Here is a 20,351-nt window from a genome sequence, read left to right as displayed (position 1 = left end):
GGATCTTTAAAAATATATTATGCCATAATTATGTGCTTCTGTTTCTTCTAAATGTCTGCAAATGAAAATATAGTGTTGGGATCAAGCCATAAGGTCTAAGTAAGGAATTCGTAGAACTTGGGCCAAGGGGCCCTGTAGTTTAGTTTGTTCCTTAGCAACATAGGTAAGATCAGCATCTCAGAAAAATGTTTTTTAAACAAAGAAACAATTAAAAGTCCATGTGTCTAAGTAACTCTGTTTATACTTGTTTTCTCAGAAGAAGACCTATCAATGCATCAAGTGTCAGATGGTTTTCTACAATGAATGGGATATTCAGGTTCATGTTGCAAATCACATGATTGGTGAGTGACACTCTAAACCTTATTACAGATAGATGTTTCTTCTGCTTGTGTATATCACCATTAAACAGAGTTAAAGATGAATTAATTGTTCAACCATCATTGTTTTTCCTCGGCATGATTGATTTTTTTTTTAATTTCTGTTATTAGTCCTGATAAGGTGTTAGCACATTTTATTTTCTGCAAGGGCTAGTTTAGACTTCTGCAGAGGATTATATATCTACTGCCAGTCAAAACACAGGTGATTAACAAATTAAACTTCTAATCATTTTTGCATTATTGAAAACTAACAGGAATGGTTAATGAACTGGATGTTAGCTTTCCATAGAGTTTTAGACAGGTTTTAATTTCAGAAGTTATTATGGTAATGGCACTGTTGTGCGTTGCTTAAGCATCTTTGTATCAAAATCTAAAGTAGCGAGTTTTTGTGATAGGGAAACATAAATAATTTAAATAGCCATAAAATAGTTTTATATGTATGGTTTCAACAGCCTGGAAATAATCATGATCATAAAGATCATGTAAAGAATTCAGTGATCATTTTTTATTCCCCACCAAATTTTCCATAGATTTTAATAAAAGTAGTTTGGGGAAAGATTTCTGAAATTACTCCAGGCCATTGTTTTTAGGATTTTGCATTTATCACATGGCCTAAAACCAAAAGGATATTTTTTTAACTTATTCATATTGTCCCATTATTTCTTAATTCCTCATGGATTACTGCCTATGTTTTTTAATTTGATAAGCATTTAGTAATAACACTAAACGTTTTACCAGCCAGTTAAACTTTATCAAGCAGATCATTTTTCTACTAGTACAATGACAATTGCTATTACTTTATGCTATTTTTGTTACTCATTTATGTTTTTTATACTATGAGTTTTCTATTTCATACTCACTTCATGGTATTTCATAATACCATAAATAATTATAATATTTAAAAAGTCAAATTAACCTCATACTCTCCTACTATGAAACTCTGTAAGACAGGAAAGAAAATTCAACAGTTTAGACTATGAACTTGTTTTCAGGGGGGAATAAGTTTGATTGTATACTAATTAGAAATATTCTAAGAATGCTTAGTGGAAGGTTGTTCCCCTGTCATTTCTGATCATTAAAGCTATAACAAAACTTCAATTTTTCTTATATAAATTAATGAAGATAAATTCAAAAGCATGTTGGAAAATTGATTGATAATTTTTCAATAGGATGTGCTTTATAGTTTTCAAATGATAGGTCTTCTGGGGGGTTGTTGCTTATAAATGACTAAGAGCTTATTTGTGCAAAATGGAACTTATACATAACAGCTAAAATATTGATCAATTCATCTCTGTATTTTCCAGATTTAAGTATTAATATTATTCGTGATTTCTCATATATTAAATAGTATATCCTTCAATGTGACAATAGCGTTGACAGCTTTAGTGAGTGATTAGAAGATAATGGCAAAATGTAGGAGAGATTCAAATGTTTCCTTGCAATTCCCTTCTGTTTGAGATTGTAAAAAATACCTTATATAAACTTTTAAAACAGCTTTTTAGAGGAGAGGAGCAGCTTAGAAAAAATGAATTCCTGCCAAATGATAAATGTTAATATTTCCCGTCTCTTTATTTCTTGAGTAGACTGTGTTGGTGGCAGTCATTCATGATTCTACCTCATGCTGCACTTTTAGATAGGCTTGAATGAAGGCAGTTCTTAGAAGTCTGCAGTTTATGGGAAATTCAGTGAAATTTTGTGGTCATGCTTCTCATTAGTTCTATTCAATGTAAACTTACTTTTGTTTCTGGATTTATTATTTGTCCCAGTACATAGATGAATATGTTGAATATATTTTCACCACAATGTTAATACTCTTTTGCACATTTAGAATTTCAATTGAATGTTCAGCATAACAGGACTTTTTGATTTTCCAATTTTAGTATCATTTTGCCTATAAACATTAATCAGTTTGTTTTGTCTTCTTTTTAAATTGCTTTATATCATTCCTATTTGTATTTATTTTATATTCCTTGCATCATTAGTGCTTTCCCAAGGCTTTTTCCCTTCTACCTTATAGTGGATTAATAAGACACTTACCTCTTGGGACCTGAGCATTTAACAATTCACCTTTCATCAGAGAAGCACATTCCATTCCTTTTCACAGAGGGTCTAGTTATTTAATATTCATGCCATTTTTAATAATAAAAATATGTAATTCTCTTGCACTTGAGGCCTAAACAAATGAGTAGCATCCATTTAATTGTTTTATTTGTTGACCATGCATCCAAGTCCTTACACCCTATTTGTGCTGTTAGTATCTAGAGAGAATGCAAAAACCAAGGGAGTCACAAAGGCTAAGATACCCCTTTTTAGAATTCCAATGTGCTATTTAGTCTTTCAAATGATGCAGGCTGCATTATTTTGTTAGCTAAAATACCTCCATTGAGGGTAGGTATTTTTAGGTTGTGTATCTGTGTGTGGTTTTTTTTTTTTGTCTAATCAAAAAATAATCTCAACTAGACATTTAATAGAGGAAGGGGGATTAGGGACTATCTGAAAAGCCTCTTACTCCTTTTGTTAAGAGGGTATATAGTGTTTTTGCAGATTTTGTTTTACATTTCAATCAATGTAGAGGAAGGATTATGTCACCTGATGGAAAACAAGATCTACAGATGACCCAATGAGGTGTAACTTTAAATTCCTTCTTTACTCAAGTCATTTGCATTTGCTCCTGTGGCACCTATGTTTGTGTGCAATCTCAGTGTCAAGCAACCGCCACACATCTTTCTGGATGTGCTGGTCTCAGGCTGTTGGCCAGGGACATTTGTGAAAGGGAAATCACCAATGTTTCTACCAGGTACATACCAGAGGTGCTCTTCTTAAGTGCAGTTTTGCAGCAAGGTGTGGACACATGGTCTGAGTTGCGAGAATAATTACTCGATAAAAATGCACTAGGGAATTGACTTATGTCTATTAAGGAAAAAAAGAAAACCTCCCTCTTCACCACATTTTGACAGAGTTTCAGTATGAAATCAGACCAGTGACTATTCAGGGGTTTCTTTTCTTCTTTACACACACGCAAAAAGAGCTACAAAACATTTTAACAGCTTTCCTGGGGAAAAGATTTCCCTCTTTTAAGATCTGTGCCAATGAGAAAATTTTTCCTCTCTTCCTTTGCTCATTTCACATAGTTTATGTTGGCTTTTGACCTGAGAATACAACAAGATACAAGTGTGTATTACGTGCTTTAATTTCCTATTCACCCTTCTCTTTTCTGAAATCAGCATAGTAAATATTTATTGTTATTTTCCTCTCTGAGCTGTCTGTTATTATTATTATTCTTTGGTATGGATTAGCAAAAATAGAGATGAAACAAGAGAATTTAAATGTGTTTAACCCAGCAAAGGGATTGCCTCATATAAAATTATGAGGCTCAACAGCATAGAGTAAATTTGTAAGTGCTCTGAATAAAGGGCTGTTAGGCATCAGATAATATAAAGAGATGACATTGCCAAGAACTATTTATGAGAAGCTTAATTTTTTCACTCTGATAATTCTTGACCAATAATTACCAGCCTCTAATTATCTATTTTAGTTAGAAAGAAATTTCGATCACTATGGAGGTTGGCATTGCAACTAGCGCATAAATCCCCAAAGAAACAAATGTGTTCCAAACAGCCACAAACAACTGTCTCATGAAACATAGTGAGCAAATTGCAAGCGGCTGGTGGTAGACAACCAGCAGTACACTCACCATCGAAGGCCAGTCAGCTTGACAAAGGAATGATCAAAGGGGAGAAATACCATTATCCTTGGAATTGATTACTATAGTTATGGACTTTGGAGGACAAGTAGTCAGGATATAGCTGTGGCCATTTCCAGGCCTCCCTTTCAAAGTTCATGGATGGAGAAAATGAATGGAATAGGTACAAGCCATTTACATAAGGATTATTTTTTAAAATATACTTAGAAATGGTTACTTAATATGTTTTATTTTTTTCATCTGACTAGAGAGACCAGTGTTGTAATGGCAAAATTGTGTCTAAGTGTCAGGATACCCCGTTTTGTAAAAGATAGGAAAATCCAGAAATAGTCACTAATAAACGTGTCCTAGATAGATCAAGTGTAATGTTAAAGCATTTTGAAGAAGCAAATATGTTTGTCTCTTAGAAAAGCAGAACTAGAATTTAGGATTTTAAAGGATAGCTAATAAGAAAATACTGATGCAAAAATACTGACTTTTTATTTATATCTCTAATAAATACTCGGTATTTTATAGATAATCACGATTTTCAAAAAATCAGAAAAAGATTAAGCTCTCTCCAGCATATGTAGGAAGATACGTACTCTATGTGTTGTGTTACACATGATATATATCACTGATGTCAAGGCATAAAGAATGAGTAAATCCGTTCTTAACAGTGTGGTGAAATTTTAGTCTGTTCTTGTGGCAGGTGGCATTCATACTTCCTGCAATTTGTTTGGTGCCCAAGGTCACAAATGGCATTCTTTTCCTTTCATTTCTTTAGTGGGTGGTGTACTATGTGACTAATCTTCATTATTGTTTTGCGACTTTCAGTATCACCTCTGAAGCATTTCAGCTTGAGTGCACTTGCTTTAGAAAAGACTAAAACCAGTATTTTGAGGTTCATAGTAGTTTAGGATTTTATGTCCTAAGGGAAAATATCCAAATATATGGATCTTTGCATAGGAAGAGAAAGGTCCATGTCTCCCTTTAAACTCTTGCTTTCACCGACTGGTTTCAAAAGAATGAATAGAAATGGATCAACAATAATGCCTATATGTGTGGCTATACATATGTGTTTATAATCTCCATGCTATCCTAAGAAGCTCAAAATCACTGAGATTTTTTGGAACCTTGATTTACATTCATTCTAAATGAGAAGATGACTGAACCCTTTTTTAAAAAAAATCCTTATTTGATTGCTTACAAAATTCAGAGAATTAAGAAACAAGCATTTGGTGTTAAATATGATAAAACACTGGCTTATTTCATCAAGAGCTGGATTAAAAAAGATGAAATCTGGGCAGTTTAATGGTAACAGAAAGCTACCCTCATGTGGGCAATGCTGGCTTATTTGAAAAGCCCATAAAGGGTTTCTACATGGACCATACAAAAGGGATACTTTCTCTTTAATAGCCATCTGTACAGGAGAGATGAGAAGTGGGCCAGGTCATCTCTCCTCAGCTGTCATGATATTAACGTAGGTAATGGAGCAAGCTGGGCGTTCTGCTGGGTGTTGTTTTTCATAGATGTTCATCGATTTACACAGATAATTCTATTTATTTCTTAGAGTTGGTCCAAGTGAACCAGGCAGAATAACAAACACCAAAGCATTTCAAATGACTTTATCTTTGTTTATAACGTAACTTTTGTCTAAAAAATTGTGTCACACCTACTGTGCAGATGGCTGCATGATTTGTAAACCAGCCAAAACATTTAAACAAATGTGTGATCTGGGGATAGATTAAATAAAGGATAAAATGGAGTGTGGGCCACAAATTCTAATAATCAGATGATTTTAAGTTGTGTGCAGTGTGGAGTGATGGTCACAGAGATAGCAGGGAACGCTTGCCAATGACAGCAAGGTGCCTTATAGATCTCAGGATGGAGCCTGTGGCCTGGTAGGCCTCAGTTTGAGAACCGCACATTTGCTGTACAGCTGGCAGCTCTGTATGGGGACATCAGATAAAACTTACGTAAAATGAAGTGTTATTGCTTAGTATGAAATTGTTCAGAGAGGGAATTTGCAGACAGTAACTGAAAACAGAATTCATGGTACCAATGAAGCAGACTGTAAATATGAAGAGGGTTTAATTATCTCCACAATTTAGCAAAAATTCAGGATGTATTTAGAAAGGACATACGCGGGCATAAATATAACATAGCTGTACTGCTTACCAAGTGCAAAGAGGGGGCCACAGGAACGTACCAAGGCTCCATATGATCAGCCTTCCTAAAAACAAAGACAATTTAAAAGAAACTCAAAGAAAAATGACTTCTTGGAGGAAGGCAGAGTTTTTAAGAGCTCATCGTGATTCTTTGGATTCTCATTTCTTAAGGAACCTGGGATAAAGTCTTCAGGTCTGTCACTCAATTTCAGGGTTAAGCTATTAAAAGACAAATCATGTGTTTTAGCTTGCGTCTAGCAGCTTTGATTTACAAGAATAAAAAATACTGGCAGTTAGTGTACTTTTTAATTTATAAACCCCAAAGATAGCGTGCTAGACATTTCTTATGATGTTAATTTTCTGTGAGGCTGAGGATTGTGGCTGAGGCCATAGATCGAAGATTCAGTGTCTTATTACTCTTTAGAACACACTGCCCCTAAAGGGGCCTCAGAAAAATGTTGTTCTCAAGGAGAATTACTGGATGCCACCCTGTCGTCCTAGGCTCAGCACAGAGACGCTAGGAAGAGAGGCCCTACCAGTTGGTTACGGCCATGTGACTGGCTGACATACAATGGCAGGGCTTCTGGACCTCATTTTGTCCTCACCTTTGACTTCCGGTAGAATGTATCACTAATGTATCGGTTTTTCACTCACTCTTTGATATGTTCCTTATCAGATGTGGGTATCTGTTTCTGAATGAAGCTTGCAAAGCATTTCCGAATGGAGGGCACTAAAAGTCATCAGTAATACCTAAAAAGATATAGATCCCTGCACAGTCATGCTTGCCCATGCACACACACACATCGTGACCTATTTCCACAGAATCCGTTCACACACATCAAAGGAAAAGGTCTCTGATGACCTATTTCCATAGGTTATTTCCTAGTTTCAGGGCCATTAATAGCAGTAAACAAAGGAAAGGGAGCCAATATGGAGAGTGGGTGTCGAACTTCAGCTGCTCATATTGTTGCATTTGGTGAGCTGATGGGGTTTCGTAGGTCACCTTTAGAATTATGCCTATGACAGCAGTAGCTACCTGCCAAGATTGCAAGGTATCTCACAGCTCTCAGGATGGCGCCTGTGGCCCGGTAGGCCTCAGTTGGAGGGGTACACATTTGCTGTACAGCTGGCAGCTCTGTATGGGGCAGCCGTGTGGGCTGTTAGGGAGCTGGAAAGGAGACAAGCATGAAATTTCTTCTAACCCCAACTCTGTTTTTCTGTACTGTTGGCTGCTTCTCAGTTCCTTGACAAAAAAACCAATCAGGCACCCTTTAATCCGCCTGTGATTACCACTGGTATAAAAAGAGAAGCATAATGAGGAAAAATGCCTCGTTTTGTTGCCTTCAAAAGCCAACAAATTGGAGTTAACTTGACAGGAAGTGGCTTAATAATTAGATTATTTATTTATTCCTGACACATATCCCCCTGTTACTAGTCTCAGGAGACCCTGTAGATGGTACGATTTTCAAGCTGCCATTACTTCGCTGTCTTCTGTGAACAAAGAAGCTACTGTCTATCAGTCAATTAAATGCAGTCTTTAAGCAGAGGCTGCGAAGTCCTCAATGGAGAGAGCCCTGGGACATTGTGGCTGATGATTCCTTTCTCTGTACTGTACATCACACTCTCAACTGCAGTCCCCACAGAGATGGAATAAAGTCATGCATTAAAATATCACTTGTTGATTTGTTTGCTAATGAAGAGCCATTGAAATGTTTGTGTATTTCTATGGCAAAATTGTTGATAAAAGGGCCTGCTTGCCAGCATATTTTAAGTCCATCTGCTGTGAGTGCTTATTTAAGAGTTATTAAAATTAAAGTCAACAAACAACAGAATTAAAAAAAAAAAACTCTGAGGTAACAAGCGTTTTCTTACTATTTTCATCAAATTAAGTGAATCAAGGCAGGAGAAATAGAGAAATTGTATCGTTTAAGTTCACGCTTACATTGCATTAATTCAGACACCTTGTTTTCGCTGACATAAAAATGTAAGTCTTCCTCAGAGTTTTGGGGAACTACATCTTTTAAGTATGAAAAGAGATTACAGTCTCTTTTCACACTTTAAGAAAATAATATTCTTTAGGAAAATAATGTTCTTTAGGAAAATAATGTGCTTAGAAATTTTACTTTTTTCTTTAAGATGAATGGCATTTTTCTAGCGGTTTATCTAACTTAAAGAGCACTTGTACAAGATTTTCCACAGAGCACAGTGAGGCTTTTTAAACCAAACTAATAAAACGCCTGTGAGACGTACATATCAGACACAATCTTGCAGCCACATGGAACGTACAGAAGTATGACTTTTCTTCTCCATTTGTTCCTCTTTATGTTTTCTTCTTTTTCTTTCTTTTTCTTTTTTTTTTTTTTTTTAGCATTACTTTATTTCCATGTAAGTAAGTGGTGGGTGACATTTCTACTAGACAAGGTTTTTATCTCTTAATTCATCAACCTAGTACCATGGAGTGTTCACTGTGTATAAAGCATGTCTTCACTGGAGTTCTCTGGGCTTCTATTAATTGGCTTTATATTTTAAGAGTACATCTGTTATTGAGCTGAAGGTCTGGAGGTGGAAGACTTGGATAATATTCTGACAGCTCTCTGATGAAATATTTAGCTATCGGTCTGTTATTTAAAGGGATAAATTTGGAATATTAAACAGAGGCCACTGAACTTTGAAAAGAGTTCCTTCATTTCATCAGACTTTGTAAAGAGTAAGTAAGGCTTTAACTATAGTTTTCATGATTACCTGACAACATGCTGTAAAGAATTAATTCAAGCCGTCATCAGATGGCTGTATTTCTTATTTCTACCCTGTTATTCCAAGTCATTTTGTTAGAAAAAGCTTAGATACTCGGAGGTGTTCTATAATACAAATGAATTTGAAACCCTTTCATTAATTGGTGATTAATATATTTCAGGATTAGTTTAAGCAGGGCTCTACCTCCTGCCCAGTCAAGTATGTTCTGGTTAATATCCAATTATCTGCACCTTCGTAGTTATTATGTCTTAATATTTCAGATATGATAACCAGAAACTTGAGAGTAATGCTAATGAGAAGCATAGAGCAAGAATTAACCAATGACATACTCAGTGATCCTTGGTGAGGAGAGAATCTCTTTTTTTCCCCATAACACATTGCCTCGGCATCTTTTGAGCACTGACTGAAAAGTAAGACTTTCAATTACAGCAGACAAAAATTAGAAAAATCAGTCGTTCTCTCTTTTCAGTCATATTAACCTGAATTTACAGTGTTATGTTTACCTAAAAACATTATTTCAGTTCATTTTATGAGGGATAAAAATAGAAAACGGAGAGCCTGTTTATATTGTCCAAACAGGAAACATCATATTCTTTATCTTTTCCTTTTAGCAAAGCCACAAGTTGTTACACTCTCAAAGGATGTTTTAATCCAGATTAATTTGGGATCCCTGTAATATTTCACTAAGGAAAAACTTTTTCCTGCTACCTCTTCTTCCGTTTCTCCCCAAATTTAGCACCATGCTGCGTTCAGGTTTCACCTCTGTTTATTTATTTATTTTTTTTACAGGTCAATTCACTTTTGAACAATCTGACTTAGCTCCCACAACCGTGCCTGTTAGGGTGGGATGCACTGCTTCTAACCATGTAGCTTTAAATAGTGACTTTGTGCATTGCCCCTTTATATGCTGTATTGTAATGAAGCAACATCAGTAAATTGCAGTGAAGGGTGATTGTTGCACAGGGATGACAACTACACCTTGGGGTCCATTTGCACCAGATTATTCTTTTTATTGTTATTATTACTTCCCATCTTCTTTACTCTCTTGCTGCCGAACTTACTGTTGGCGACCGGTACAACACAGAGGGCATCTTGAGGAACACTGCAGACATCATTTTTTTCTCTTATGCACATACCAATCACCATTCAATTCCAAAACCAGAGACCCTGGGTGGTTTTGCAGTTCTTTATCGATGCCTCTTTACTTTGTTGACTTCATTTACAATGTCTCTCCTCTTCATCTTCTTAAAAGAACAAATTTACTGTAAATAAAAGTGAGACATTTCTTTTCACCCATTTTGTATAGATGTTATAAATCTGTAGTCAAAATGGTCAACTATTGCCCATCCTAATTTGTCCCTTTCCCCAAAGAGGTTTAATAATTCATTTTAAAATAGAGGTCTAGATGGGATTACTTCTTAAAGAAAAGATTTGTATTTTCAATATCTTTTTAGGTTTGCTTAAGACATAGATAAAATCATTATGAATATTGTATACACTAGTTGTTTTCTTTACAAAATAGCCTGTTTCCCGCCCCTGGTCTACTGTTTTTACCCAGTAACTAATAGCAAAATAATGTGGATTGAAGTCAGAGATTCTGCACTGTTATTGAACAGAATTGTGAACAAGCTTTTAACCAAGGGATAATTAGATGTGTATTTAGGGGCACTATTACTCCTTTTGTTGTCATAATTTTAGTACCTGTGTCCATTTATTTTCAAATTGTTAGTGCAGCTGTTGTTTTGTTTTTCTCTCTCTGAGGCTGGGCTGTTGCGCAGCATTCAAACTAAAATCTAGGATTAAAACTGACACACCTTCAATAGAACTATCAAGTCTTTTAAAACTGGTTGGCCGGTGACGCCAGTCCCACGCTATTCAACCACACACACTTCCAATTGTGGGCCAAAGAGCATTGATTTTTAGCTGTCATTTCTAGTGCACATACTGTAGAATTGAAATTTAAACCTTAATCCACTCAGTAATGCAATTAATTTTTAATGTGCAGTAATACTAATTGAAATAGCCTGAATTTAGTAAGTCACCACAAGACATTTTCAAAAGCAAGAGTCTCCACTGAGAACTGGGAGGACAGATAATCATTGTTACAGTGTTTACAGAATAAATGTGAACTCTGCAGACCTCCAGTAGAAAGGGGGTTTTCTTTAAATTAGTCTATATTATATCTCTTCGAGAAAAATACATCGTCAAAGAGAATTCCTACTTTCTATCTACTGTAACAGGTTAAAATATGCTATTAACTTATTTAAAAGGCATAATTGTAGTTAGAAATATTTTAATGTATACAAAATAATATTCACACTTTTTTTAAAAAAAAGCAATTATGAGTAGGTGCAAATGAAGTCACCTGCCAACAATGTCATGGTCAGGCAAGAGTCTCAGTGGGTAATTTCCTTATATAATTATGTTTTTTGAGATATTATTTCCAGATTCAATGAATATGTGTGCTGTATCAGCTGTCTATAAATCTGTTGCCTTGTTTTGATGTATTTTTGGTGAACCAAAAAATATACCATCCCCTATCTGTTTCAAAGCTATGTTCCTTTAGCTTTTACATATTATTTCAAAATGGCCTTTTAAATGTTTTGTGAAGCTCTTTTTTTCCCTTGCCATAGTAAAGCAAATTTTGAACAGTAAAATCAAATAGGTTTTCAGTCATTTCTACACTAAAAAGGTTCTCTAACCACATTTATCTGCTAGTAAATGAGGACTTTTTAAAATGCATCTGTTCTGCTGATGAATGGGCTTGCGGAGTGTTTCAAACGAGCACCAGCATTAAGTTGAAGAAGGCAAACCCTGTATATCATGCTTTCATGGCTCTCACATTATACTATTTAATATGCCGATAGTACTGTTAAATATTTAGCAAAGTTCCCTTATAACCCTACCATCTATTCAAATGGGATTTTAAGACATTTTTGCAGCACATAAGTAAAAATGATGCTGGAGAACTGGAGGCAGTTGTAGCATGGCTTATTTTCTAAATGAAGTGTAGGGTAACGTGGTACAAATGAGTTCAACAGATTCACACCTACTGAATACCTCAACCAATTTACATTCTTTGGATTAAAGGTTCAAACTGGCTTTCATTTTGTCACTAAGTCAAAGTGCTGTTAGCATTAATTACATAGAGTACTAACTTGACATTATAGCATGTTAGTAAGAAGACCTGAATTGTGATTATTTTAAGCTGTCCTAACATCAATTGAGCTTTATAATAAGTATTTCCATTTTTTTTAACTGAGTAGGGGAAGGGGAAGAAAGAGAGATGAGGGGAAATCGATTTATAGTCCATTCATAGCATATTATCAAATCAAATTAGGATATAGTATATTGAATCTTTTCAGCCTTTAATTTGGGTATGCTGGAGCAAATAATGAGTATTAGACAGATATTGTTGTACACATGGATAATGCATAATGGATCACCTTTATCAGTTTTTCTTATAATATTTGATAGTTATTACCCAAATAACAGTAATTATTCTTTTAATCTGGAGTGAAAATTGGTATCTAGGAGCCTTAGGCAAAAATATTGCCAGTAAATATGATGCTGACTTCATTACTGTCATCACGTTGGTAGGTTTGAATTCACATTTAAACCTTTCCATGCTTATCAGTATAATTAGTTTTGAAGGTGTAAAGGTAAAGACTGGTCGTTTGTTCAGATTTATATGAAATGTGTGTTTGACTCTTCTAGAAGCCTGTTTGCTAGACTCTAATTTTCATCCTATTTTATATGCAGCCAGTGACCACAGTATTCATTCAAACTGCACAGAGACACATCTCATCTGTAAAACACGGCTTGCTGATCTTATTTGCTATTTGTATTCTCATAAGAAGAAACATAGGTTTCATTATGATGCAGTGGAAGTACATTTTGTTTTGAGATTACGTATATCACATATATGTTCATACCAAGAATTTTATAATAAAGAATGAATAAAGGAGATAGCTTTAAGTATACATGAAGGAAAAGGGAAGGGAAGCGAAATGGGCGTCACATATAGGTGTGTTTAATATGCAATGCTTGATGTATGTTGACCTCAGGTTACAAGAGTAGAAAATCCCATTTTCCAGCTTGTTTCAAATATAGTAAAAATGCTGCTTCAGTTGCTTTATGCTACTCACATTGGGGAAGGTGCTTATACTGTGATAATTATCATCAAGGAATATTAATGCGTTCAGCATTTGTAACCCAAAAACTCATTATAGCTTAAGCTGTGCATCATCTGTGAAGAGAGAACTTTGCCAGAATTTGCTCTTCACAGGGGTTGCCTCCTGCTTGCTGCGGAGTGGTCAGAGTACTGCAAGAGGTCACTTAGGCTATTTTTGAAAGCTGAAGTTTTGCAATTTTTGAATCACTACCTTCTGTCCAAAGAGCATATCATTCTTGCCTCAAAATGTCCTTCTTCTAATTGAATGCATGGTAAAATGCAAAATATAATAATAATAAATAAATAAATAAGAGGTAACTGTATCTCATTATGTAGAATTCAAGAAGGTCAGCATATGTATTCCATATCAAGATAATTGAAGTATTGGTGTCTTCTCTTCTGTCATGGAGCAAAGGGATTCATTTACACCAGTTTCCTTAATGCAGGTGCCCTTGGGTTTCAGAGAGAAATGCCCCCACTGGGGCTCCACATTATAGCCCTCTGGCTGGAAATTGTGTAAATAAGACTGCAGGGTCAGCCTTCCTTTTTCGGTACCAGTGTCTATAATTAGTCTGTGACGACAGTCCTTTATATGAGCCTAAAACTGTTCCTGGGATCATTCCTCATACATCTAAGACGTCTATCTAATGCATAGGTAGATATTTTTGCATGTATGTTTAAAATCATTCTCTAGGGGGATATTGACTTGATGGGAACTAGAATCTCTGGGTGTGTAAAGAATCCTATAACTTCATCTGATCAAAATAGCTGGTTAGGCAGCTCCATTATAAATTATAGGTGGTTAGTTTCCTATGAACATTGTGTCCTCACCTGTAGTGGGGCAGCTTGTTGAAAGGGAGCTGTGCGCCTGTGATGTTTTTACGTGATTAAATCCCATTATTTTTCCCCCACTGATCCATTGCTTGTCATTTCCCGTAAGTAACATTGCTCCATGCTGCATGTTATGGTTTGTGTGGGCCAGGCAGAGAGCACTAATACTGAGTTCTATCAGGCTGTCTGGCATTGCAGGACTGCTATGTTTCTGAGGTCAAATTGTGAACCTGGCCTTGCTCCTGGGAGGACTAGAAAAATATGTTTCATAACTTCCCATAGACCTAAGCGAAGAGGAAGAAGGAAAAACATGAAGCCCATAGGCTCAGTTTAGATGAGCTGAAAGGTTGGAATTTATCAAGCAGGAAAGCTGACCGTTGTGTGGGAGGCTTCCTTACTGTGAGGGATCACTGCCGTGGGTGCAGAATCAGTCCTAGCTGAGGCCTTTGGGGGATAGGGTAATCATTCAAATAGCCCAGCAGGCACAGACACACAAGCTGATAATCTGGAGTAAACCTGCTGAAATAGGGATTTACTTACCTGTTAAAATCACTTACATGAAGGAATACTGATAGAATGAGTACCACGAATTCAGGGCAGATACTGTAGGCTGCTTCACTGAAAGTAATTTATGCTGCTGCTGTTGCTGTTGTTGTTGTTGTTGTTGTTGTTTTGAATGAGGCAGAACCTTTTATTTTATGCAGCAGAGCACTAATGCCACAAAATGGATGGATTTCCTGAACCAGAGACAGGTTCTCAATCGTTTTGGGCTGGAATGCTGGCAGTATGGTGGAGAAATAGAGTAGCAGCAGATCTTCTGTAAGGATGTAAACTTAATAATCTTTATGAATTTTGAGTAACTCATAACTCCACTTCCTCACCCAAAGAAGCATTATGAAAAGATTGCTTCTAAATCCTTCAGACGTTCTCTGCACTTATGATAGATGCCATCCTCTTTACCTTGAGGCATTGGAAATAAATGTGGGGTTTTTTTTTTTTGCAAGAGATAAAAACATATACTTTAGAAGGAGCAAATTGTATTTTCATGTTTTAAGTTCACTATTTGCACTGATGTGGTGAGATCCAAATGTGAAGAATTGCTTTTGACATTATTTCTGTGTCTCCTGTATCCCAGAACCACTGCATTGTTATGCTGAAATGTACCATCACATGGGATAAATGTGATGTTGGAAACCTGGGAATAGTATGTATAATATTGCATTCTATGTCCAGGGTGCTTAGGACAATTGTAACTTCTTTAGTTACTAAAACAATTTAACTTATCTTATTAAGGATACATTATCTTATAAGGATACATTAGCTAAAACTACATGTGCATGTGTCTTTTAAGAAAAAATTATAATCTTCCAAGTGTTGTGGGTTTGTTTATGGGCAAAAAAGGGCTTTCATTTCTAAACGAAAAAGTTTTTTTAACTTTCTCTAAAAGTCTGTTTTACATAATCTGTACCTTGAACTAGCACATACTATGTTATATAGTAAACTTTAAAATACATACATCAAAGGTCTTAACTTGCATGACTGATTTCAGAATTCTAATTCAGATTTTCTGTCAGTAACTATGGTTTTCTATTTTTATGGTCCTTTTTAAAGATAAATTTTTGTCGTCTTCTTTGTGTATTTAAATGTGTGTGTGTCACATGCGTACATCTGTGTGTGGACATGTACCCACCGTCAGTCTCTTCCACCACACACTCACTGCTGCAGCACTCCGTGTCTTGTGTTTAGCGTGTTTCCAACAGCTTAGGGAGATGGTACAAAAGTGAAATGAATACTGTGGAGCTTATATTGGAGTCTGATATTTGAAAGAGAGATATTGGAAAAGGATGTTTTTTGGCTTGGCTCCTTTTATATGTAATTGCTGCTTCATTAGGACTTGGAAGAGTTTCCTGTGGTTAAATTTAATCAAATAGCTCAGAATAACAAACTTGTACACTCAAAATTCCAGGACAGTTCTCTATAAGAAGCATGGTTTTCCTAAGTTTAAAACAAACACATATACACACATGCACACACGTAAACACACACACATCACTACCACCACCAACAACTAGTTTGTAAAATGCTGTGAGTGCCATCTCAAACCTAACTCCCTATTGGTAGTGATTTAATAAATGATCATGTATAGAAGTATAAGGCATAAGAGCGAAACCCCATCTCTACTAAAAATACAAAAATTAGCCAGATGTGGTGGCATGTGTAATCCTAGCTACTCTGGAGGCTGAGGCAGGAGAATTGCTTGAACCCGGGAGGCAGAGGTTGCAGTGAGCCGAGATCACACCACTGCACTCCAGCCTGGGGGATAGAGGGAAATTCCATCCCTGCCACCACCACCAAAAAAAAAAAAAAAAAAAAAAAAAAAAAAAAAAAAAAAAAAGGAATAAAGAAAAAGAAGTATAAGTCATAAGAAATACATTTCAAAGGGTTTGGGGTTTGTTTGGTTTTGCACTTGAACAGGTGTCAAGCATTGATTCTCCTGAGCCATGATATGAGGTTGTTATCATTACTTTTGTTATACAGACAAGGAAACTGAGGCGTGAGCAGAACAGAGCTAGTGTGCATTAGTGTACGGAGAGAAACTCACACTTCTTGAATCTGTCTACATCACTTTCAGCTGGTGCAGTATTCATCTCTTCACACATGCACAAGTTGCTCACTGTGGGAGCCTGTGCTGAGGTGTTCTTAGCAATTGCTTTGCTATCATTGCATCAAAGCCTGATGTTGATGTCATTTTCTAGGCAATAAAACCTATACTTGGTTCAGATAAAATTTGATCTTTCCATTAAAAGATTTTTCCATTATATCTTTCCATTATAAGTAAAGACTTAGCCTAGGTATTCTCTTCTACTTTCTTAAAACAAACTACTTTGAAACAGCTAAGTATGCTTCTGCATCAGAATTCTTTGGCAATGGTGGGAAATGGTGGGAAATAGGCAACAAAGTGACAAAAATGGATAAATTCAGGGTAAATCGTCCTGAGTATGGGACATGGCTTTCCATAATACTAATGTGTGAATGAGCAGCATAAAAATGTTCACGTCTCTGCAAAGTAGCAAGTGGTTATGTTCATATCATTTTGAAAGCTGAGTGGATAGATTTAAATAGCAAGAGCTTTGTTCGGAATGATGTGTGGAACCCAGAATCACAGACCCTGCGATACATGAAAACATATGTGCCTCAGTCCTGTCTTAATAGCGCACATGTTGTCTAATTATTGTTAGAAATGGGAAATGGCTTGGAAACCTCCAACATTTCTAGAAGCCTCTTTCTGTAGGTATCTGTATATGAATTCACTATAGGATGATTGGAAAGGGAGTAACGCAGTTACTGCACATTCATTTAAACATGAGAAAGGAATTGACATACTATATGCAGCTTGACAATACGATTTATGATGTTCATCACAGTTTTTTTAGCAGAGTTCCTTTTGAACCACAGAGATAATTTATTAGATGCCAGAATGTGTTATTAGAGAAGGAGTAATGAAGAAGAACACTCTTTTATGTTAATACTTTTTTACATTTTGTATATGTCGCTATGTTAGGCAAAGGGAATTGAAACATGCTCTAAATTCCAGTCACAGGACAAGAACAAAATTGTGCAGGTTTCCTCCCAAAATCCACGAGGAACAATGGCCAGTAAAAAGAAAGTGCCATCTGGGTCTGGATGTGAGGTCATTGCCAACTCTTCATTGGTGCTGGTAGAAAGCTTACAATTATGATGATGCATCCTTGTTTTATAAGTGTTCTTGCAATTGGAGCTGCAAACTGATTTTAGTTTTTATTACAGACGATATTTTTGCCTAGCTAAAAAGTCTGGTCATGTAGTATATATAAGCTTCTCTAAAATGTATTTTTTAAACCAGTCCAATTAACTAGCAGCAAATTTGCTTACTAGGTGTGCATGTAGATAGCAGCCTTCTCAACTCCTGAAAAAAAAAAAAATCCTCACAAAGCAGAAAGTTTGCATTCCTGTAAGTCAGAACGGGTGTAGATTCTTTTCTTGGACATGCTTTATTTTTAAACTCCATATTAAAATCTGTAATGTGTAAGGTAAATGACACGTTTTTCCTACTCAAGTTTTCTTTGAATTCATATTTTGATTGATTTGTGTGATACCATGGGTGCCTATGAATTAGTGCAGAGGTCTCCTGCCTCCCACACCTTCCTTTCTTTGACTCTTCCTCTTAGCCAAGTGGAATTTTAAATTGGTGACTTAAAACCAAATGGTCAGCAAAAGGCTTGATCTCTTCAGTTCAGGGAAAGATACTCTCCCCTGATTTTCTTTGAGGTTCACATCTCTTCATTTAAAACCTTCCTCTGTACCTAGCAGTCATAAAATAGGGTAAGTTTAAAGTGTACAATAAAATATGAGCACTAATAAAACTAGCAGTAAAAAAAAAAATCACTGAAAGTGACATGAAATTTAGCAGGCAAGAGGTTAAAACTGTTCGCTGTGTGTAAAAATTTTACATAGTGAGGTCCTCAGATGTAGAACAGATGTAGGCAGAAGGAGAAGGGGGCTGGTAAGTGCTCAGGTCACAGCGAGTATTGGGAGTAAACACCAGGTTCCACGCCAGCGCCGAATGTTGGAGCCAGCCAGGGAGCGTGTGCTTATGAGTGTGTGCGTGCACGCGCACGTGTGCTGGTGAGCATGTGTGAGTGTCTAGAATTTTCCGGGAGCAGTTTCATCTTTGTCATTTATTCTGTAAGGAAAGCAACACCGGGGCGGCCGACTTGGGCAAGCTGGTGTAATCTGTTGCACTACGCTGCGATCCCTCGGAGCCCCTGTAGGCTTCGCTGCCAGTTGTTTGCCTGCCTCTCCTAGTGGAATTCATTTAAATTAAAGCAGTGGAATGAGGCCCAAGTCCCCAAATGCTGAGTCCCTCTCCTTCATCAGCATTCCAGCGAAGAGAGTAATTAAAGCAAAAATTAATTCTGGTGTAAGCAGAGGAGGCACAAAATAACTGATATTAGAGGCTAGATGATGAATGCCTGGCATCAAGGGAGGTCTCCTGGGAGGATAAAAGATTTCACAGAGTTTTTGCATATCACAGTTTTCTCATTATGAGACCCGACGAAGATTGCTCAGTGCATACATGATGTGTTAAAAGAGTAGGGTGAAAAGCAGACACTTGTTCACCAGATACATCTTAATTAGAGCGCTCTTTAGCAGACGGGCTTGCAAACTCTGGTGATAAATAGACTTTCGAGGGGGAGATGTAAATTTAGAGCGTTGGGGTTCTGGGAGACTTCCTGTTGTTTGTGTTGCATTATGGGGTTTATTGTGGCTCTAATTGCTGCCAGTTTATTACAGATGACACTAGGACATTGACATAAATGGAGCCATAAAAAGACTCACACGGCTATTGAAAATATGCCTGTATATAATGGAAAGCTGCATACTCATTTTGCCTCTCCTAACTGCTCCTTACAAATAAAGTCATAGCTGTATGCAGCAGTTAATCATTTTAAAACTGAGCTGTGCTGTGGTTTCTAGCTGTATTGTGTGTAAGGCATGGGCCTCATTATTTACAGGAATGGTATCATAAATGTGTAAGTCATAGAGCCTGATTTATAAACAATTCATAATTTTGTAAAGGTGGCATTTTTTTCTGCCTCTTCGAAGTCCTAGGAAACTTTCCATTTATTATTTTTAAAAGAATACTATGGCATGTCTGAATTGACCATAATACAGTAGCAAAACCGTTGATCCAAGAAGGTACAAGGTATGATAAATGGCCATTTGATTGTGTGACAGTATGCTCAATTGGTAGGGAGGGAGGTCATTTCACCACTTAAATCAAAGAATTTGTAGTCTATTAAAAGTGACATGTGAACAAGTCCAGGTATCACAAGCTTTTCAGTTTTGTAACTCAACCAATATTTATGCTGACCATCCACGTTTTCTATTCTCAAAATAACTGAGGCTCATTAACAGCAATAAGGGGAAGGAGTGACATGACATTTAAATCCTCCGGTATGACAGCTTTACAAAGTATGTGGTAGGCTCCATGCATCAGTCATATAAGCCAACCTTGCTTGAGTTGATCCATTTCAACTTTTACATTACATAGAACCCCAATGATGTATAAATAATTAGTAGAAAAACTCACATTTATAAAGTCCTAATTTTGCCATGCTGTGATACTGTTTTATCTTCATTCTCCCCAAATTTTCTGATTTCTTATTACTTCCCTGACCCCCATGGATTCCAGTGAGGTTTCCCTGAGGAGGAAAGGTCTAACCACTTATACGTCGGAGGTAGGAATGGCCCCTTCATCATGTCCTGTGACACACAGGCTATTGTGATGACTTCTTAGTTTTTGAATGCCCAACACATAA

General features: G+C 36.4%; 1 protein-coding gene across 9 annotated transcripts in view; it reads left to right on the top strand.

Annotated features, from left to right (window-relative positions):
* ZNF521 (zinc finger protein 521) overlaps positions 1-20,351 on the top strand; it is a 290,243-nt gene that overhangs the window by 156,666 nt on the left and 113,226 nt on the right. For 7 of the 9 annotated variants that reach the window (NM_001308225.2, NM_015461.3, XM_017025698.3 and 4 more), the window contains one exon: positions 257-341. In NM_001308225.2, coding sequence (NP_001295154.1) covers positions 257-341 — 85 coding nt within the window. The remainder of the gene's footprint in view (positions 1-256; positions 342-20,351) is intronic. The other 2 variants (XM_017025697.3, XM_011525909.4) reach the window with 1 other exon arrangement.

Source organism: Homo sapiens, chromosome 18 (assembly GCF_000001405.40).
Source record: "Homo sapiens chromosome 18, GRCh38.p14 Primary Assembly".
In the NCBI taxonomy this organism is placed as follows: domain Eukaryota; kingdom Metazoa; phylum Chordata; class Mammalia; order Primates; family Hominidae; genus Homo; species Homo sapiens.
The sequence above is the reverse complement of the archived record's forward strand: the minus strand, read 5'-3'. Positions and strand labels throughout refer to the sequence as shown.